The sequence below is a fragment of the Homo sapiens genome, chromosome 7 (assembly GCF_000001405.40).
Source record: "Homo sapiens chromosome 7, GRCh38.p14 Primary Assembly".
NCBI lineage: Eukaryota > Metazoa > Chordata > Mammalia > Primates > Hominidae > Homo > Homo sapiens.
The window spans coordinates 84086054-84104538 of record NC_000007.14 but is presented as its reverse complement, the minus strand read 5'-3'; the positions used below and the strand labels follow the sequence as shown (position 1 = coordinate 84104538).

Genomic DNA, 18485 nt, shown 5'->3' with positions numbered 1-18485 from the left:
TGAATATTTGATATATAAACACAATAGTTATGAGATTAACATTCATTTATCCTGTACCTCTTGTATGTTCAATTGTACAGTTTTTTACTGATAATACTTGACAGCTTTTTTTCCCCTAAAAACAGTGACAGATAGAAATAGAAGTGTTAGCATTAAATTCTTACCTTGAAGGATATTTAGTTTTGTGTTTTAGCACATATAGCATACCTATTGCCAGGTAAAGTATTTGGACAAATTTAAACAGTTTTTATAAGGCCATATTGGTACAATAATGCCATTCCCAATCACCTATTAAAATAATATATTATCTATAGTACTTTATTTTTTAGTGTATGTGCTGCCGAAGTGAGCACTATAGTATCTGATTTTTGAATGACTTCTTGATTCACCAGAAATCAATGCAGATAAGGACTACATCGTATACAGTTAATATTAACCATAAACATGTTTTCCTATTCCTTGTAGACTAATACCTAGTTTGGATCAAAGCTTTTACATTTACTGGGGTGAGACAGTCACTGGAGTTATTTATCTCCTACTTACTCTTTCTCATATATGGGTCCTCTTTTGATTGATTCCCTTACACATATTTCCCATATAATCTACTTTAAGAGGAAATTTCTATTCATAAAAGCCTCCATTAATTTGTTATAAATATTAAATTTACAAAAACATGAAAAATAACACTAAATCCCATTGCCTGTTCACCTGTTTGGTACTTTTTCATCTTCCCTTTCATTCTCCAGCCTTCATAATCCTTCTTTTACCTCTCGACTCTAGTTCTATGTTTTATTTTTATTTTCATTTTTTACCTCTTTGTCTCCTTGTGTAAATAACTTCATTTTAAAACCAAAGTTTAAGAGTGGAAACACAACTTGAATCTGCAGATGAGAAAAAAATATTTTATTTTTTTAAAATATAAGAAAAGTAGCATAACAAACTTAGACTGAATTTCCTGAAATCAGAATACCTTCATCTCCTCCTGCAATGTGTTTCTAATAAATGGACATCAGTAAGTTATCTCTCAGTCTTGTTTTTAACTGTGATGATTTATTCTGATATTAATGTGAAAAAATGAAATAAGCACATTCTAATTATTTGGATGGCTATCCCACAGTCATAATTTATTTTTTTTAATTTAAAATTTTAGTACCCTCATTTGCTTGAAGCTTATGATTATTTAAATGCCAAAAATGCTCCTTTAATTGTATTGGGCTAATGAGAAAGAAACAAAGCCTGACTCGATATGCAAATGCTATATTCTGCCAACTAAGGACCAAAGTAAGGCCAGAGTTCATGGTATGAAGGAAGATTTTGCTGTGGTTGAGATAGAGAAAAATGGTGAGAGAATTAAATCATCCCAGAGCACATGAAAGTGTATTTGCCCACCGCAATGACTGTAGCTTCTGGGTACTAGGACTATGTTCACACTGCAAAATTGTATTTACTTTTCAGTATACATAGCAATGTCATTGTCATGTTGCATTGCTATAACTAATTTTAATTGGATTTCTTTTCCAATTTTGCTGGTACTTAATTTTAAATATAAAGAGCATATACTTAGTTACTGTCAAAAAAAACCCCCATACAATATGTGGTAACTCTGACAGCATGCTAGAAGACACCTTACAAGTGTTTTTAAAAAGATAGTGTAAAAGGCCGGGCACAGTGACTCAACGCCTGTAATCCCAGCACTTTGGGAGGCTGAGGTGGGCGGATCATTTGAGGTCAGGAGTTCGAGACCAGCCTGGCCAACATGGTGAAATCCCATCTCTACTAAAAATACAAAAAATAGCCAGGTGTGGTGGCGGGCATCTGTAATCCCAGCTACTCTGGTGGCTGAGGCAGGAGAATTGCTTGAACCCGGGAGGCCGAGGTTGCAGTGAGCTAAGATCACACCACTGGGCAACAAGAGTGAGACTCTGTTAAAAAAAAAAAAAAAAAAAAAAAGCGATAATGCAATCTCCTTCTCTGTATTCACACCAGAGGATACTCTCCTTGCCCTAATTTTATAGCCCTGGTCTATGGGTCCCAATGGCTCTCTGCTGCTCCAGGCTTAGCACATTTGGTCTGCATAGCTTTAATACTGCTCTTTTCCTTACTGGATTAATGTCTCATCCAGTTAGTACTTGTAGATCATTGTCTTCCACAGCCAAAGCCAGATAGCTTGTGGTTTAAAAAATGACTAAAACTCATATTTCACAATAGAAACATTACCATGATTTGTAAAAAATAAGTCAAGAAACTCTCTTAAGGCAGATAAGTAGAAAAGCACACTTTAATAGTCACACTTTTATCCTAAATTAGCATCTTGAAATAAGTCATATGAGTTGATATCACTAACACAAATTCACACAGTTGATTGGTGATAGGGCTTAGACTAGCACCCTTGTTTAAAACTTCATTTTTGTAATTTCCATTAGAGTCTATCAAAGTTAGGGTTTTCTAGAACACCTCTGTTCAAAGGCAGTATAATGCTAGCTGCATATGTAATTTAGTTTTTCTAGTAGCTATATTAAAAGGAATAAAAATAACCACAGGTGAAATTATTTTTAATATATTTATTTTAACTAAATATATCCAAAATATTATTTAAATATGTAATCAATATAAAATTATTAATAACATTGACATTATTTTTTGTACTGCCTTTGAAATTTAGAGTTTTTATGAGACTTAGAGCTCAACTAAATTTAGACTAGTCTCATTTCACATGTTCAATAGTTTCATTTGACTAGTAGCTCCCGTATAGGACAGCTCAGTCCTACAAAGTAAAGCAAAGATAGAATGCAGAATGACAAGTGATCATCATACCTATATGAGCATTTGTGTAAAAATTAATATCTGATAGTTGAAATCCAATATTGTTGCTTATGATAATATTATTTAAACTGTTTTACATTTACCCCCTTAAAAACATCATTGTCACCAAAACTGAATGAAATCTAGCAGTTAGAACTAACTGGAGTATAACCCAGCAAACCTGACATGTTGCACAATTGAACTTCAAGAGAGTGGGGGGAGAAAACCATTGTGTTATAGTTGCACAGTGGTTTTAACATAACGGTAAATTTTCAGATCATTTTATGGTGAAAACTTCAAATTTTGCATAATGTCAGTTGACATTCACCAATATACAAATATGTAGAAAGAGTCCTTATTTCCAAGAGAAGATAAAATAAATAACTATTACTCTGGAATAGTGAAAAGGAGGATAATGATGTCATAGCTTTGTTTGCATCCAAAGTTATGGAACCCCCTCTTGTTATCCATGACATTTCATGAAAGCTTTTTATATGGAAAGGACCTAACCTTATGGATCTAACAGTCTTGCTGTAAAAGCATACACATGCAATTATAACAAGCCAGAAGATATATCATAATCTAAATTGCTAAGATGTGTTTGTACTGATACAAATGCAATTGCAGTGTAAAGAAAAAAAAATGACATCATAGGGTTCCATGGGGAAGCAGTCTGATTAGTCAGCTGTATCCTTGTGTTCAGTCTCAGCATTGCACCATGATTCTCCTACAGGATGAGAGATGGGGAAGTAGAAATAGCAGGGACATGGATGAGAATCAGCATGAGGTAATGAGAACAGCACTGAGGTGAAAAAGAAAAGCGTCATGAGCAAACCTTCTGCAATAAAGGTTTTATTAGATATATCTGAGAGAGTACTAGAAAATAATGGAGGCTTAACATTCATATCTATGTTTCTTCAGATTTGAGGCTACAATACTGCTCAACTGCAATTAACAATGCCCAGATGACCTTGGAAGCAATTTGTATTCACATGAATGATTCAGTAGTGATAAGAATGGCTTTAATAAAAACCTAGGAACATTTTTTCTTAATTTTCTAATATTGATTGTAAGGAATATGAACACAAATATCATCCCTCAAAGGGCTCACATAGAAACAAAAATCTAACTTCGGTGTTGGTAAAGACATCTGCAATAATACAAATCATACTCCCAATAACTAATATTGATTGAACGGTGAATATATATCCTGTACTTTAAAAGTATTACTTTACTTAATTATCACAAAATCTGATGAGGTAGCTACTCTCAGTATCTTCATTTTACTAATGAGAAAAGTAAGGTTTTTCATGATTGTTTTGTAATAGACCTGAGGCAAAGATGCTATTCAGTAGTTCATGTCTGAATCCAGAACCTGCACCTTTAAAAGGACATTCCAGCACCATACAATAGGAGAAGAAAAGTAAAATGATTAGTTCTGGTTTAGAGGACTATGTCGGAGTGATTTTTTTCTCCTGGATTTACACTTCAGAAATACTTAGTGCACACCTCGTTTGTACAAAGTGATGAGTGTAAATAAGGGAACACTCAATGAGGTAAACAAAGGCCATCTTATTCTAACTGGAATTTGGAAATGGATGAGATATTGATAGATTTGGAAGACAGACAGGCTATGGAAACAGTGAATGGAAGGAGAAAAACATAAATGATTATAGTCCAACAGGGAAATGGCAAATAGCCCAGTGTGCATAGAGTTTACTGCTTTTCAAAAAAAGGAGACGAGAAAGTTAAGATCAAATTTAGTTTAGGCAAGCTAGTCAAGAACCATGCAAGTTTTCAGACAGACAAAACCACTATTGCCATGATTCACTTTGAAACATATTTCTGGCATAAATATGAGAGAAAAATTAATAGACATATACATAACATCCTCTTTTGAGGCTATAGCAAAAGTTCAGTAGTGACATCATAAGACCCTATTCTGATACTGAGTGAAAGATGCTGCGTAAAATTACAATTCTCAAATGAAAACATCAAGATATCTAAATAATAGCCAGATCTCATAAGCCATTAGATGAAATATAACTGAGGTGATGACACTGTTTAAACTCCTCATTAAAAAAAGCGTTTATGATTCTTTTGTGAATTAGTCAAACTTGTTTTATAGCATATTGTGGTTCATGCACATTTAATTTTAACTCCTGAGCTTACAAATCAGCTGCGTTAAGCTGCATTTATGTTGTGCATAAAACATTAAGCTACTATAGGCAAAGTTATGTGAGTTTTGCATTGATAGCATATCACAAAGGAGAGTTTCTCCATTACTCGTAAATAAAGAAAATGCTATTTTGGGGAATGTATATGTGAAAGTAATTCAAATGCACTTTTCTTTTAAAAAAAATTCAAGGCCGGGCGCGGTGGCTCACGCCTGTAATCCCAGCACTTTGGGAGGCCGAGGCGGGCGGATCACGAGGTCAGGAGATCGAGACCATCCTGGCTAACACGGTGAAACACCGTCTCTACTAAAAATACAAAAAATTAGCCGGGCGTGGTAGCGGGCGCCTGTAGTCCCAGCTACTCGGGAGGCTGAGGCAGGAGAATGGCGTGAACCCGGGAGGCGGAGCTTGCAGTGAGCCGAGATCGCGCCACTGCACTCCAGCCTGGGCGACAGAGCGAGACTCCGTCTCAAAAAAAAAAAAAGAAAAAAAAAGAAAATGTAATTCCTGATTAATCTCTGGTTATTCTATCCAATTTATCTTCTGCTATAACTATTGTCCACGATTGTTGTTATTACTTTTATTACTATTAGAGGCTATTATTGTTGGCATGGTTGATAGCTTTATCAAAATTATATAATTTGATTTTAATAATTCTGTGAAAGAAGCATTATCTCTGTTTCTCAATTGAGGAAACTAAGGCTCAGGGAAGTTCAACATGTTACATAACATCACACAGCCAGTATATCATCTGTCCTCATGCCCATCATAACAAATGGCCTTTCTAATGGCATCAATATTATACCCCATTGAGATTATGCTATATGATGTGCTTATTAATACTTAGTTCTAAACACTCAAAACTTTGAATTTCAAGTTAAATCCATTACAATTTGCATTATCAAGAACCTTCTTGAAAGTAGCATTAAATTCTTCATGCTGAAATAGTGTATGTCACCTTGGTAAAATTCCTTGGCAGTGGCAAACTCACAGAGTCCTTTAAAAGATTATAGTAATAACATAAACTGGGAGTTGTGTTTTAATAAAACTAGTGCTAGAATACCCCACAAAACAGTTATTCTGTTACTACTAATTCTCTCTGTAGAAATTCTAGGGATTGAGCAAAGATAAATAAAACCCACCTACCTTACTTCTACCTGGACAAGAAGAAGAGCAGTAACATGTTTTACAATCAAAGAAAAATATAACTATATTTTTTACCAAAAGGAAAAAGTTAGGATTTGTAGCACTAATACAAATATTTTGAAATAGATTACTTAAAATAAAAATAAAAATAAATGTTTTCCAACTCTCATTCAAAGTAAGTTTAGCAATGAAGCATGTCTTTTTACTTTTTCCTAATATTATGATCATGTAATATTTTAAATACACAGAAAAGTATGAATACCAGTATATTATCAACCAATTATACTCTAAGAATCAGCAAATACTTAATTTTATATAGCATAAATTATTATTAAATATCAGAAGATGGTCATACTCTTTATTCTATTATTTCTAATGTAAATGGGCCTTTTCAAGCTATCCCTAGCTGTAAGAATGTTGAAATATTACATTTTTTTTCCAAAGGCTGCATTTTACTCTAATTTTGTACTTATGAATCTTTGGAAATTCCAGCAGGAACAAATGTATTTGGAGAAATATATCTTTTTGTGAAGGGTCATCCTTTAATCATTGCTTTAAAAAATCGAATGCCATAGGTATTCAACTTTCATTGAATGCAATTATTTTTATCCTTGCATATTTTGCTATTATTCTTTAGTAATTTAAAATCTACTTCTGTAAAAATGATAGAATATTTGGTAATACTACCCAAATACAGCTTTAAGATTTATACATTTATAGGTGAAAAAGAGTATTATTTCAAATTATCAGAAATCAAACCATATCCATTGACTACTTTCCATTTTTATTTTATCTTTATTTTCCAGTCTGCCATTTTATCCATTGTGTATCTTTGGTCCCTGAAAGCAATCCCAGGAACTGCTGAGCAGTTAAAAAGCGAGTCTAATGGGATCTAAAATCAATTCGCAAGTCTGCCACTGATTCATTGTATGCCTTTTGCTGCCACTGAAATGACATTAAACCAGTCTCTTAAACCAGCATTTTTATACCCCTGTATTTTTGTTGTGATTAAAAAATACTTATCTATTCACTATGCATGTACACTAAAGAACATAGATTACTGATTAATAAATATTAGACTACTTTCTGTTTCAATCAGTTACCTCACTTGAGATTAGCACAAAACTTTATACAGAGGCTTAAAAGTCTGTATTTTTCTTGTGTTGCAAATGCGGTTTTGTATACGTGCCAGGGTTCAAGATCCTTTTAAGTGCTTTTCTCCTGGCAAATGTGGCTTCTTCTGATTTATCTTTTGTTGGCATTTAATAACTGTCTTACCTCATATTTAAATTGCTTCACCTGGAACAGATGGATGCTTGGCGTCCCACATTTACTTGCCCTTTGCTGGCCTCAATCTTGGGGACAATTGTAACCTTTGCCCTTAAGAATCCGTATTCTTGTCATGCTAGATAGCATTCCTAGGTACTACCTTGACACCAGATCATACTTTTCTAACTGCAATATGGAAACATTTTAAAATTCATGTTAAAATTGCACAGTATCTTAGACATATGTAAACATATTTTATTTTCTAGAAATGTATAATAATTTATCTAACAGAATGGGAAAAATGTATGTGACTGGTAAGCAAAATATCTCAATTTTTATCATATGAAAATCCAGAAAAATAGAAGTGACTTGTGTACCTGCTTTATAAGGTGCATCAGAGGCAATCAGCAATTTCCTGTCTGTGAATTAAAATCAACTTGAGGTGAAATGAAAAGACAAGATGAAATGATGTGTTTGACACATAAATGACAAAAAATTTCATCCTATTCACTTTTCCACCTTGTATTTAGAGAAGTCTAAAAAATTTAATAATATCCTAAGACAAAAATGAAGTTATTTTCAACTAATGCTTCCAAGAAAATAATTTTCATCTGGAATATTTTAGTGCAAAAAAATTCATTTGGAAATTTTTGTATACTCATAACTACTTATGCTTAATGCTATACTGAACACAAAGCTCAACAATATATGGTATTTTACTTTGAGAAAAACACATGTCCAAAGAAAAGCTGTGGCCAAAATTTCCATAAAATTCTTGCTAAAAAATAAGTTTATAAAATACTATAGCTTTCAGTTACTGTACAGCTTCTCTAGTTCCTATCCTTCACTTTATAATATAGAAAATTTAAACTCGAATTAGTTAAAAAGTATCTTTAAATCTCTTGGCTACTTAGTGGTAAGAGCTGAAGTTAAGCTCAATTCTCTTGACAGCTAATTCAGAGTCTTTTCCATTATGTTACATTGCCTTCACTCTCACTGCCAAATGTTTAAAAGGGAATGAAAGCCACAATTTTCCATGTACCTCAAGATGTTTATAACGTTTTGTATTCAAAAATTAAATTGAATGCTTATTAGTAACATTCAATAATTATTGTTAAAATATAGTTGGCTTTGACCTCTTCATGCATAAATTGTCTGATTATAAACTATATTATGTAATTTCAGGGGAAATGTTTATGATATCTTTTATAAAAATAGTATTACTTATTGAAAATGAATCAACTGCCTCATCAAAGTAGACAAAATTTGAATATTGTTTCAATACTTTAGGAACTTTTATTCTCATAAAAGTAGTTGGATTTAAGATGATTTCTATCAGTTGAAGCAGTCAACACATATCAAATATTATCAAATAAAGTAATTGGAAACATTAGAGAAGCAACCTGAACACAGGAATCATGCAAAATTTCACACTCACACCTCTGCATTCAGTGGACAAGAATGACTAAATGCTTTGATCTCCCCTGGATAACATGAAAGAGGAAAGGAAAAAAAAAAGCAACATCTGTTAGAATAAAGGTTTAGTGAACAGAATGGAGACTAGTTGACATAAGACATAGGGCATGAAAAAAAAAAGATAAAATGCATAAGCCAAGTTATTTATAGCCTCAGACCTTACTAGTCCAAAGAGATAAAGTCTGACATAGAAAAAAATATTGAAATAAATTCAGTTATATTTATGTTTAAAGTAGGTGAAAATCCAGAAGGGAGTTTCCTACAAATGTTTTCAATGGGAATATATATATATATATATATATATATATATGTATATAAAAAATATAAAATATATATAATATATATAATGCCATATATAAATGCATTATATACATATAATGCCATATATATGCTACATAATAATGGTATATAATAATATATAAACATATATTTATATATAATGTAATATATAATTGCATTTTATACATATAATGCTATATATAGCAATATATAGAGAGATATGTGCAATATATATACAATATATAATATGCAATATATATAATGCAATATATAGAGAGATCCACAGTATATTTATTTATATAAATTATAAATAAATTACCTATATACAGTATATATTTTGTGTGTGTGTGTGTGTAAGTGTGTATGTTTACTCATGGTGGGTGACAATATCTTAGACAAAACTATGAAGGTGTTATATAAACAATATAATTAATGTTAGACTGCTTGGATATATATCTGTAAATGTAGACTTCTATCAGTTTTCCACTTAAGGAAACAAATGTCTGCTGTGGGAAAGGTGATTGCTTTGAAGTGGATCAGTTCTATATACAGATGTATTTACCTGGGCATTGTCCATCTCTCAACTACAGCAAATACTCAAAGCAAAAATATTTCAACGGGCAATTAATAAATTTGATGTACTTTCAGGTTTGTGAGTTTTTGTGTTGCAAAGTGTGTTTTAGTTGTTAGCGGTGGTGGGTTTTTTTTATTTTAGAATCGGTGTCATATTATGATGTTAGAAACATAGATTCCACTATCACGTAACATAGTATTTTCTAAGATTTTGAATGCCATAGCTGCAGTTCCCAATCTTATATCTAGCAGATGACATGCACATATGTGACATTCTTTCATAAGAACACCCATCGTTATATGCATATGAATGCTCTAGAATACAAGTAGATATAATAATGCCAGCGGAGCCTTAACCTTGAATTGGCCTTAATTTCTTTAAAATAATAACATAAAAAGAACGCTATTGAAAATATACGTACTTTAAGTTCAGGAAAGCAGAGCCTGTTTAAGATCAGTGCAAGTATAACATGGGAAAAAAAAAAAGGCAAAAACTTAAGATCTTAGATGTAGGGAGAAAGTAATTTAAAAATATAGAAAGAAGGACGTTTGCCTCAAAGATGGTGCCTGTATGTAATGAACTAAGTGGACTTTTCTCCTGGGCAGCAGACCAGAAGTGTAAACGTCACCAAGGCATATGGTTCCTTTTCGTGAAATAACAATCTTAATTGACATCCCACTCTCTCCACCTCTCCCCTCTCTGGCCTGACTTACCCTATCCAGTCAGACTTCCACATCAAAGCCAGAACAAACTTCAAAAAAGGCAAATGGTAGCCTGGTAGCCTTTGTGTACAGACATTCCTTTGCCTACCTTTTTTCCTAGCAATTGTAGAAATTGGCCTTTGGTTCCTGGTGCCTCCCACCTTGGCATCCTTTCTTTTTTTTTTTTTTTAAGTTCTAGGATGCATGTGCAGGTTTGTTACATGGTAAACATGTGCCATGGTGGTTTGCTGCACTTATCACCTAAGTATTAAGCCCAGCATGCCTTCGCTATTTTTCCTGATGCTCTCCTTCCAACTCCCCAGAGGCACAAATGGGTGTTGTTCCCCTCCCTGCGTCCATGTATTCTCATTGTTCAACTCCCACTTATAAATGAGAACATGCAGTGTCTGGTTTTCTGTTCCTGTGTTAGTTTGCTGAGGATTATGGCTTTCAGCTCCAGTCATGTCCCTGCAAAGAACATGACCTCATTCCTTTTTATGGCTGCATAGTATTTTATAATGTATATATATACTACATTGTATGTCTTGTTCTTTCAGTTCCTTTTCATTCCTCATCTCTCTTCTCCTAGGACATTGCATTTATTGCTTTTGTTGCGTTGATAGATCTTCTCTTGGATATTTGCTTTAATAAATCCATCTCATCCTTCTGATCTCAATTCATGCATTACTTCTTCAGAACAAGTTCCACTGACTTGTATTGTAGTCTACCATTATGTATGTTCTCATGGCAACACAGCAAAAAGTCAGATGAGTAAATAAATACACATATTGTGGTAAGTGCTGTAATGGTACTTAGAGACTTTGTCTGAAGTAGGATATATATCTGCATGTAGGAGTCACATCACATAAACACTCTGAACTGTTGAAGACCATTTGTTCATCTCTCAAGTGTTAGTTATTTTTGTGTTTATCTTGTGCAAAAAGTTACATGGTGCAAATTAGAATTAGAACATGAAATAAATGTCCCCAGCCAGTTTGAATTCTTAAATAACACCAAAGGAGTCTCTCAAAAATAAAACGTAGTATCTCCATATTTCAATACGAGTCATTTTCTATATTTGACATATATCAAATATATGTCAGGAATAATCTATATTGATTAACAAATATTATCCTGTAATTTTAACACATTTGATTTTTTTTTGGTTGGTATTACACAATTGTCTTATCCCTTGTATACATATGACCTAACAGAAAATAAATTTAAATGAATCTTCATAATAACATTTACACAGAAGTGCAAGTAAAAGTTATTTTCTGTTACAGTCCTTATGTAGTAAGTTAGCAAAGAAATAGTTGGAGGTTATGCACATCCACAATTAAAGGAGGGAAGAAGGAGGCATGGAGGGAAGGAGGAAATAAGAAATATACCTCAAGATCTATTTTGGTAAAACCAATCTGGCTAATACTGGAATTTGCTAGATAATAGTATCTGTTAACTTTTATTTCATGCCCTTTGCTTAAAATAGAATAGAAATTCTTTGTCTGCAAACTTCGATATTCTGAATTAGGTATGACACAAAAATTTTGTGGAGATCTTTTCACTCATTTATCACATTGAAAAAAAGTAGCATGTTTATGTTAAAGTTTACATTTTATTCCTGGAAACTGACACACAGGAAGCAATAAATATGAAAAGTGTTGTGATGTTCAGCGGCAGTTTTCTTCCCCGCACAGGAAGGAAGTGGGAGTTTTAAAGTGAGAGTGCAAAGGAGACAAGTAGAAACAAAGGCATTCGTATGTACACACGGACATTCAAAAGATAATCACTGAAAGTGGCACTACAAGAAAACTATGCTCCACTGTTTGAGTTTCAAATTAAAGCTCTCTGAGGATAATGGTAAATTTTATTTGGGTAAAAAAATTGCTTTGTATCTTCCTCCATCAAGATTTCAATTGGCAGGAGATGACACAACCTGCTTAACAATCAGGTATTTCAAAGGTTGAGAAGATTTAGAGGGAGCATTTAAAAAAATGCCTTTTAAAAAATATATGTGAACAGCACGTATTCATTTGGCACATGTATAACATTAATTCATTAATACTCAAGAGTATTCTGATACTCTGATACTGATAGAGTATTCTTAGGGTACTCTGCCTAGAATTCAGAATTTAGTGTAGTGTGTAGACTTATATAAAAATACAACCTGCATATCTGTTAGGAAAAAATATAACATTTTAATATTATGGAATTTCATTTGTTCATAACTTACTGATTTAGATTCTAAATAAAGCATCTCAGAATTCTGTGCTTTGCAGGTTAGAAAAAGAACATTATCATCAAACTGGCTCTATTTAAACTCTTCACTCACGGTTATTAATACATCATTAAGTTTCTGGATATTCATCTTGAGAAAAGCATGAAGATAGTCTCTAAAAATTGGAGCCAAATTAAAACAGTTTTCTCTAACCCTGACTGAATTTTTAGAAACCACTTTGGATTATCCACAGTGTTAGACTGAAGTTTAATTATATTGTTTTACCTCAAAGGAATACTGTGATCAAATGTAGATAACCTAGTAAAGCACTCGGCTGAATAGCTTCTGGTTGTGACAGTAAATATTTATCATTCTAAATCTCCACCCACATTCTTAACCCAGCATGCCCTGATAAGGTGTGTGCTATTTTAGTTTGGCATTTACTCTTTATGTTAGATGTGAAATATAAAATATTTTGTGTAAAAGAATATTCTTTATATTAACCTACACAATTTCCTTCCTTCCTTCCTTTCTTCCTTTCTTCCTTCCTTCCCTCCTCTTTCTCTCTCTCTCTTCCTTCCTTCCTTCCTTTCTTTTTCTTTTTCTTTCTTTCTTTCTTTTCTTTCTTTTTCTCTTTCCTTCGTTCTTTCCTTCCTTCCTTCTTTCTTTTCTTTCTTTTCTTTTCTTTCTTTCTTTCTTTCTTTCTTTCTTTCTTTCTTTCTTTCTTTCCTTCCTTCCTTCCTTCCTTCCTTCCTTCCTTCTTTCTTTCTTTCTTTTTCTTTCTTTCTTTCTTTCTCTTTCTTTCCTTCTTTCTTTCATTTTGAGTTGGAGTCTCACTCTGTTCCCCAGGCTACAGTGCAATGGCATGATCTCGTGATCTCAGCTCACTGCAAACTCTGTCTCCCGGGTTCAAGTGATTCTCTGGCCTCAGCCTCCTGAGTAGTTGGGATTACAAGCATGAGCCACCACGCCCAGCTAATTTTTGTATTTTTAGCAGAGATGGAATTTCACCATGTTGGCTAGGCTGGTCTTGAACCCCTGGCCTCAAGAGATCCACCTGCCTCGGCCTCTCAAAGTGCTAGGATTACAGGCGTGAGCCACCACGCCCGGCCAACCTACACAATTTTCTACAGTGTAGTATCTGGAATATTTTACATATTTGATAATATTTATTAATTTCAATAAATAAATATAGATACCAGTGTCAACATCATTATGACTTTAAAATTATCAATATTAAATAATATTCTTGTTTTTTAAAGAAAGAAAATTGCTTAGTTAAAAGCATACATTTGGTTCCCCTTTTATTTATTTTCATTTCTTCCACACATAAGCTTTAATGCTTGTTTGCATTATTTGTTCAACGTGGGTCTTGTGTTTTGTTTTTTTTGCATTTAGGTTGACTCTTTCCTCCTTGCAGAGAGAACATGCTATTCCCATGTAGTAGGCTATTCTTGCACAGTTTTAGACAAATCGTCTGCAAACATTGTATTGCCTGTCCATTATTTTAGGATCAATACATAAAGAAGTTTTAGAAACAGAAAGGAGGGAGTGTATCTAGCAGTCATTAGTTCTCTGAATGAAAATTTATCATCTTTTTATTAAATACACATGCTGATTTTTCCTATGTAATATTAAAACTCACTTACCTAGTACCTAAACCCACATAGTTTTACTTAAAAGTTCTTACCAACTTCTTTCCAAATCAAACTTTAAATCTGGGGACTGCATAAAATTACTCCTCCACTGCAACATAAAAAATGAAAACTATCTTGTATAATATTTTGTCTTATTTTGTTACTCAGAGAATATATGGGATTAAACTTCAAAATCTTTAAAATTTTCATGAGCATAATTTTTCAAATTTATTTTCTATAACAAAATAGATCTAACTTCAAATCATCCATCATATAATAATAGTATTTTAAAATATATTTTTCTAAGAATGAATTTTATAAATGTCCTACTTTAGTCTCTATATAGTTATTAAATGTATCAAGTTTACAAATCAATATTGCATCTTTAGCACAGTTCATAACCTTTAAAATTTAGTCTGATAGTACAAAAGGCTCCTTTTCAGTTAATAATAAATCTAGGTATATAAAGTGATACACAGTACATGTCTATAAGTTGTATATCTGTATACATATATTTACCAAATGTGTATATAAATAAAAATCCTTTAGAATTGTATAATTATAAAAAGCAATCAATTTATAAAAGAAGCCCTATAATGATTTACTATCCAAATACTAATAATTGCTTTGAAGGAATGACTATATTTTTTATTAGATGTTTAGACAATTTGCAATTATAGCATAAGTTTATGTAATTTAGATGTGTATGATTTCAGTCAAATGACTGAAGGCTACAGACTTATATGGTTGACTCCAAACCCATAATTACATTAAAATCAATAATTTTAACACTCCTTGTTTTTTATCTATGAAATAACATTTACCATATGGTATTTATTCATATGGTAATAATTGACAAATTTTGTAGATTGTTACCTGTGTAGTTGAAAATTCTTACTCTTGTTGACATATTTGCATTTGCATAGGACTTCATTCATTTTGAAAATGGCAAAATTAGTACCAGTTATACTAGTTGCATTATATGTGCGTATACAACAGCATATATTCTCCTGCAAACAGACTACTAAACAGAACGGTTATGACTAAACTAAGTGAGATTTTGAGATTTCTATTCTTCTTTAAAGGGAAGTATTTTGCACTACTCCTCTGACAATATGCTGCAAAGTGGTGCTCAAGATGAGTGTTTACATATACGTTTTCACCAAATGGCATTCTTCTTCCTAACAGCTCTAAATTGACTCATTATTGTGTCTTAGGAGAATTATTACTTCAATGCCTTTTTTTTTTTACTCTTACTGTAAGCTCTGAAAAGTTAAGAAAATAACTTTGCTTTTTTGAACAAATAAAACCCCCTCCCTCACTGTTTAAAATCCTGAAAAAAAAACATTAACATGAAAGAACATTCTGAGCAACAAGGGAGGCTTCTCACTCACAAAGGAATACTTTCATGTATTAATCATGGCTGCAAGTAACTTAAACATCAACTAGATCAAATTGCACCCTATGCATTTTTAAATTCTCCAACTACTATTTCATATTCTTGTAGTTTTAATGTTAGGCAGGAAGGTGGAAAAATAAATAGAATCATGCATTTCATATTGTTTTCTGAATATGTCAAATTTTATTGTCAAATGTTAATTAATGATTCTATCATATTTAAATAGATGTCAAAAATGTATTCCCAATCAACCAGCATATAGACACACACATACCATTTTTACAATATTATGATAATGATAAATAAAATTGAATTAAGACAGGAATCTTCCCCTTAAGTAACTTTTAGAATTTACTTAGAGACATAAAACTAGCATAGTTGTCAAGCATACTTTCTTTTTTTTTTTGGAAACGGAGTCTCCCTGTGTAGCCCAGGCTGGAGTGCAGTGGTGCGATCTTGGCTCACTGCAACCTCTGCCTCTCGGGTTCAAGCGATTCTCCTGCCTCAGCTTCCTGAGTAGTTGGGACTACAGGCACCCGCCACCATGCCCAGCTAATTTTTGTATTTTTAGTAGAGACGGGGTTTCACCGTGTTAGCCAGGATGGTCTCGATCTCCCGACCTTGTGATCCACCCGCCTCGGCCTCCCAAAGTGCTGGGATTATAGGCATGAGCCACTGCGCCTGGCAAGCATACTTTCAATAAACACTTTTTTGTTCTATTTTGTGATGACAGCATGTGGATTTATAATGAAAAGATAAATTTAACATGTTTCCCGCCCTCAGAACTACATATTTGGGGGAAAAATAAATGTAACATAGAGCAATGACTGGTATAATACAGTTACTTACAAAGTGCTACAAGATCCCTAAAACAGGGATATTTAATTATGCCTAAGAGTATTTGAGCTAGTTCCAAAAAGAGTCAAAACAAGAATAGGATCATTTCAGCAAATGAGAAGAAAACTGCAAGGCAAAGTGGAATAAGAGTAAAACAAAATGCAAAAACATAGAGGAAGGCCAACAATAGTAAAAGAATAAAATGCTGTGCAATAGGTTTTCAGAGAACAGAAGTTCATGGGAATGAAGTGTTCAGAAAAGGATTCAAGAAGGTAGTAGTAACAACAATGCCAATATAACAATAATCAACTACTGCACATTGAGTTACACCAAAACACATTTTGGCATAACTTCTGTTTACTCCCCTACATCTCTACTTAGATGTCCTCTAGGGAAGCCATCTCTATTTCATTTCCAGTCCCCAAGTTCAATCAGCATCATATATTTTCATATGATAGTATCCTTGTAGGAATATTCATTAAAATTACATGAATATTGTGAAAGTTTATGTTTAATGCCGATCTTCCCTACAATACTGTAAGCACCAGAGGACTAATGGTGGATCTGTCTTATCCAGCTGTAGAACACTAGCCCCTGGCATGAAGTAGGATCACAACAAATGCTGTAGAAATGAATGACTCCATGTCTACACACTATGCCAATTAAGTTATTTTGTGTAATTCCTGTAACATTCTAAACAGGCAGATGGGACTTTTTGCATTTTATAGATGAGAAAAATGAGAATTAAAATGTTAAATAACACAAAATCACACTTCTAATGAATCACAGAGCCATGATTTGAACTCAGATCCTTATGAGTACTAACCTCTTACTACAGTAACTATGATAAGCTACTGATAATGGCCTGGAATTTGTATAAATGGATGCAACAACGTAAATATTTTCATTAGGAATAATACAACAAAAAAGACATAGAATTAATAGCAAATGTACCATCTTTGTTGCATAATAAAGAGAATGTTCTTTACAAATCATTTCGAATATTACAAAATAGTAGAAAGACAAATTTGATGACTGGGATTAAGCCAAATTATGAAGACTCTTGAAAGAAAATCATGTATATGAAAAGAGAGAGCTGTGAGAATTACTGAGTAGCTACTTAACATGATGAAAGCATGCATTATAAAGTTTAGTGGAGTATGTGATGAAGTAATTGGGTAAAGAAGGATAGAGCACCAAAGAAGTCTATCAGAAAGCTGGGCAAAAACCTAGCTGATGTAATCACAGCCAATACTTGAAAGGTGAGTGTGGAAAAAAATATATATATACACACATATATATGTATACATATATATGATGTTCCATATATATACATATATTCCATATATATACATATATATGAGTTGTGCCCTCTGGAGCACAAGTTATTTTCTTTATTTTTGTGAGAATTGTGAGGATTATAAATATAATATAATAATATATTATATGTAAATATAATATAATAATATATTATATGTAAATATAATATAATAATATATTATATATAAATATAATATAATAATATATTATATGTAAATATAATATAATAATACATATTATATATGAATATAATAATATATAAAATATAAATATAATATGAAATATTAAAAATAATAATAGCAAAGAGTGTATATGTTATCATCGCATAGGAACAAACAGCCTTAAGGAGATTAAGGTCATGATTACACAACTACAGAGCAGCAGATTCTGGACTCAAAGCCAGGTATGCTAATTCTAGAGACTGTTGTAGGAACGAGCACAGGACCCAGCATCTTCTTGTGTTCTCAATTTGTGCTGCTGTGGTTTAATGCATGTACCAGGGAGAGTGCTGGCAAAGGTTGACAGCAGTAGTAGTGATTGTAGTAGCCACATCAGCAGCAGGCTTTCTGCCTTTGACATATATGCTCTGGCTCTGTGACTTTATCACACAGAGCACTCGTAGAGAAGTTATAATAGCAACAGGGGTAGAA

General features: G+C 32.8%; 1 protein-coding gene across 3 annotated transcripts in view, besides 1 other annotated feature; it reads left to right on the top strand.

The window, feature by feature from the left end:
• Positions 1-18485, top strand: part of SEMA3A (semaphorin 3A) — a 536949-nt gene that overhangs the window by 388187 nt on the left and 130277 nt on the right. The gene's annotated exons all lie outside the window — the stretch shown is intronic.
• Positions 12872-13372: an enhancer, noted in NCBI's record as "H3K27ac hESC enhancer chr7:83720483-83720983 (GRCh37/hg19 assembly coordinates)". NCBI's record gives its function as "activates a minimal SCP1, AML or CMV promoter by ChIP-STARR-seq in naive H9 embryonic stem cells {active_cell/tissue: H9 hESC(naive)}" and the evidence as "EXISTENCE:reporter gene assay evidence [ECO:0000049][PMID:30033119]".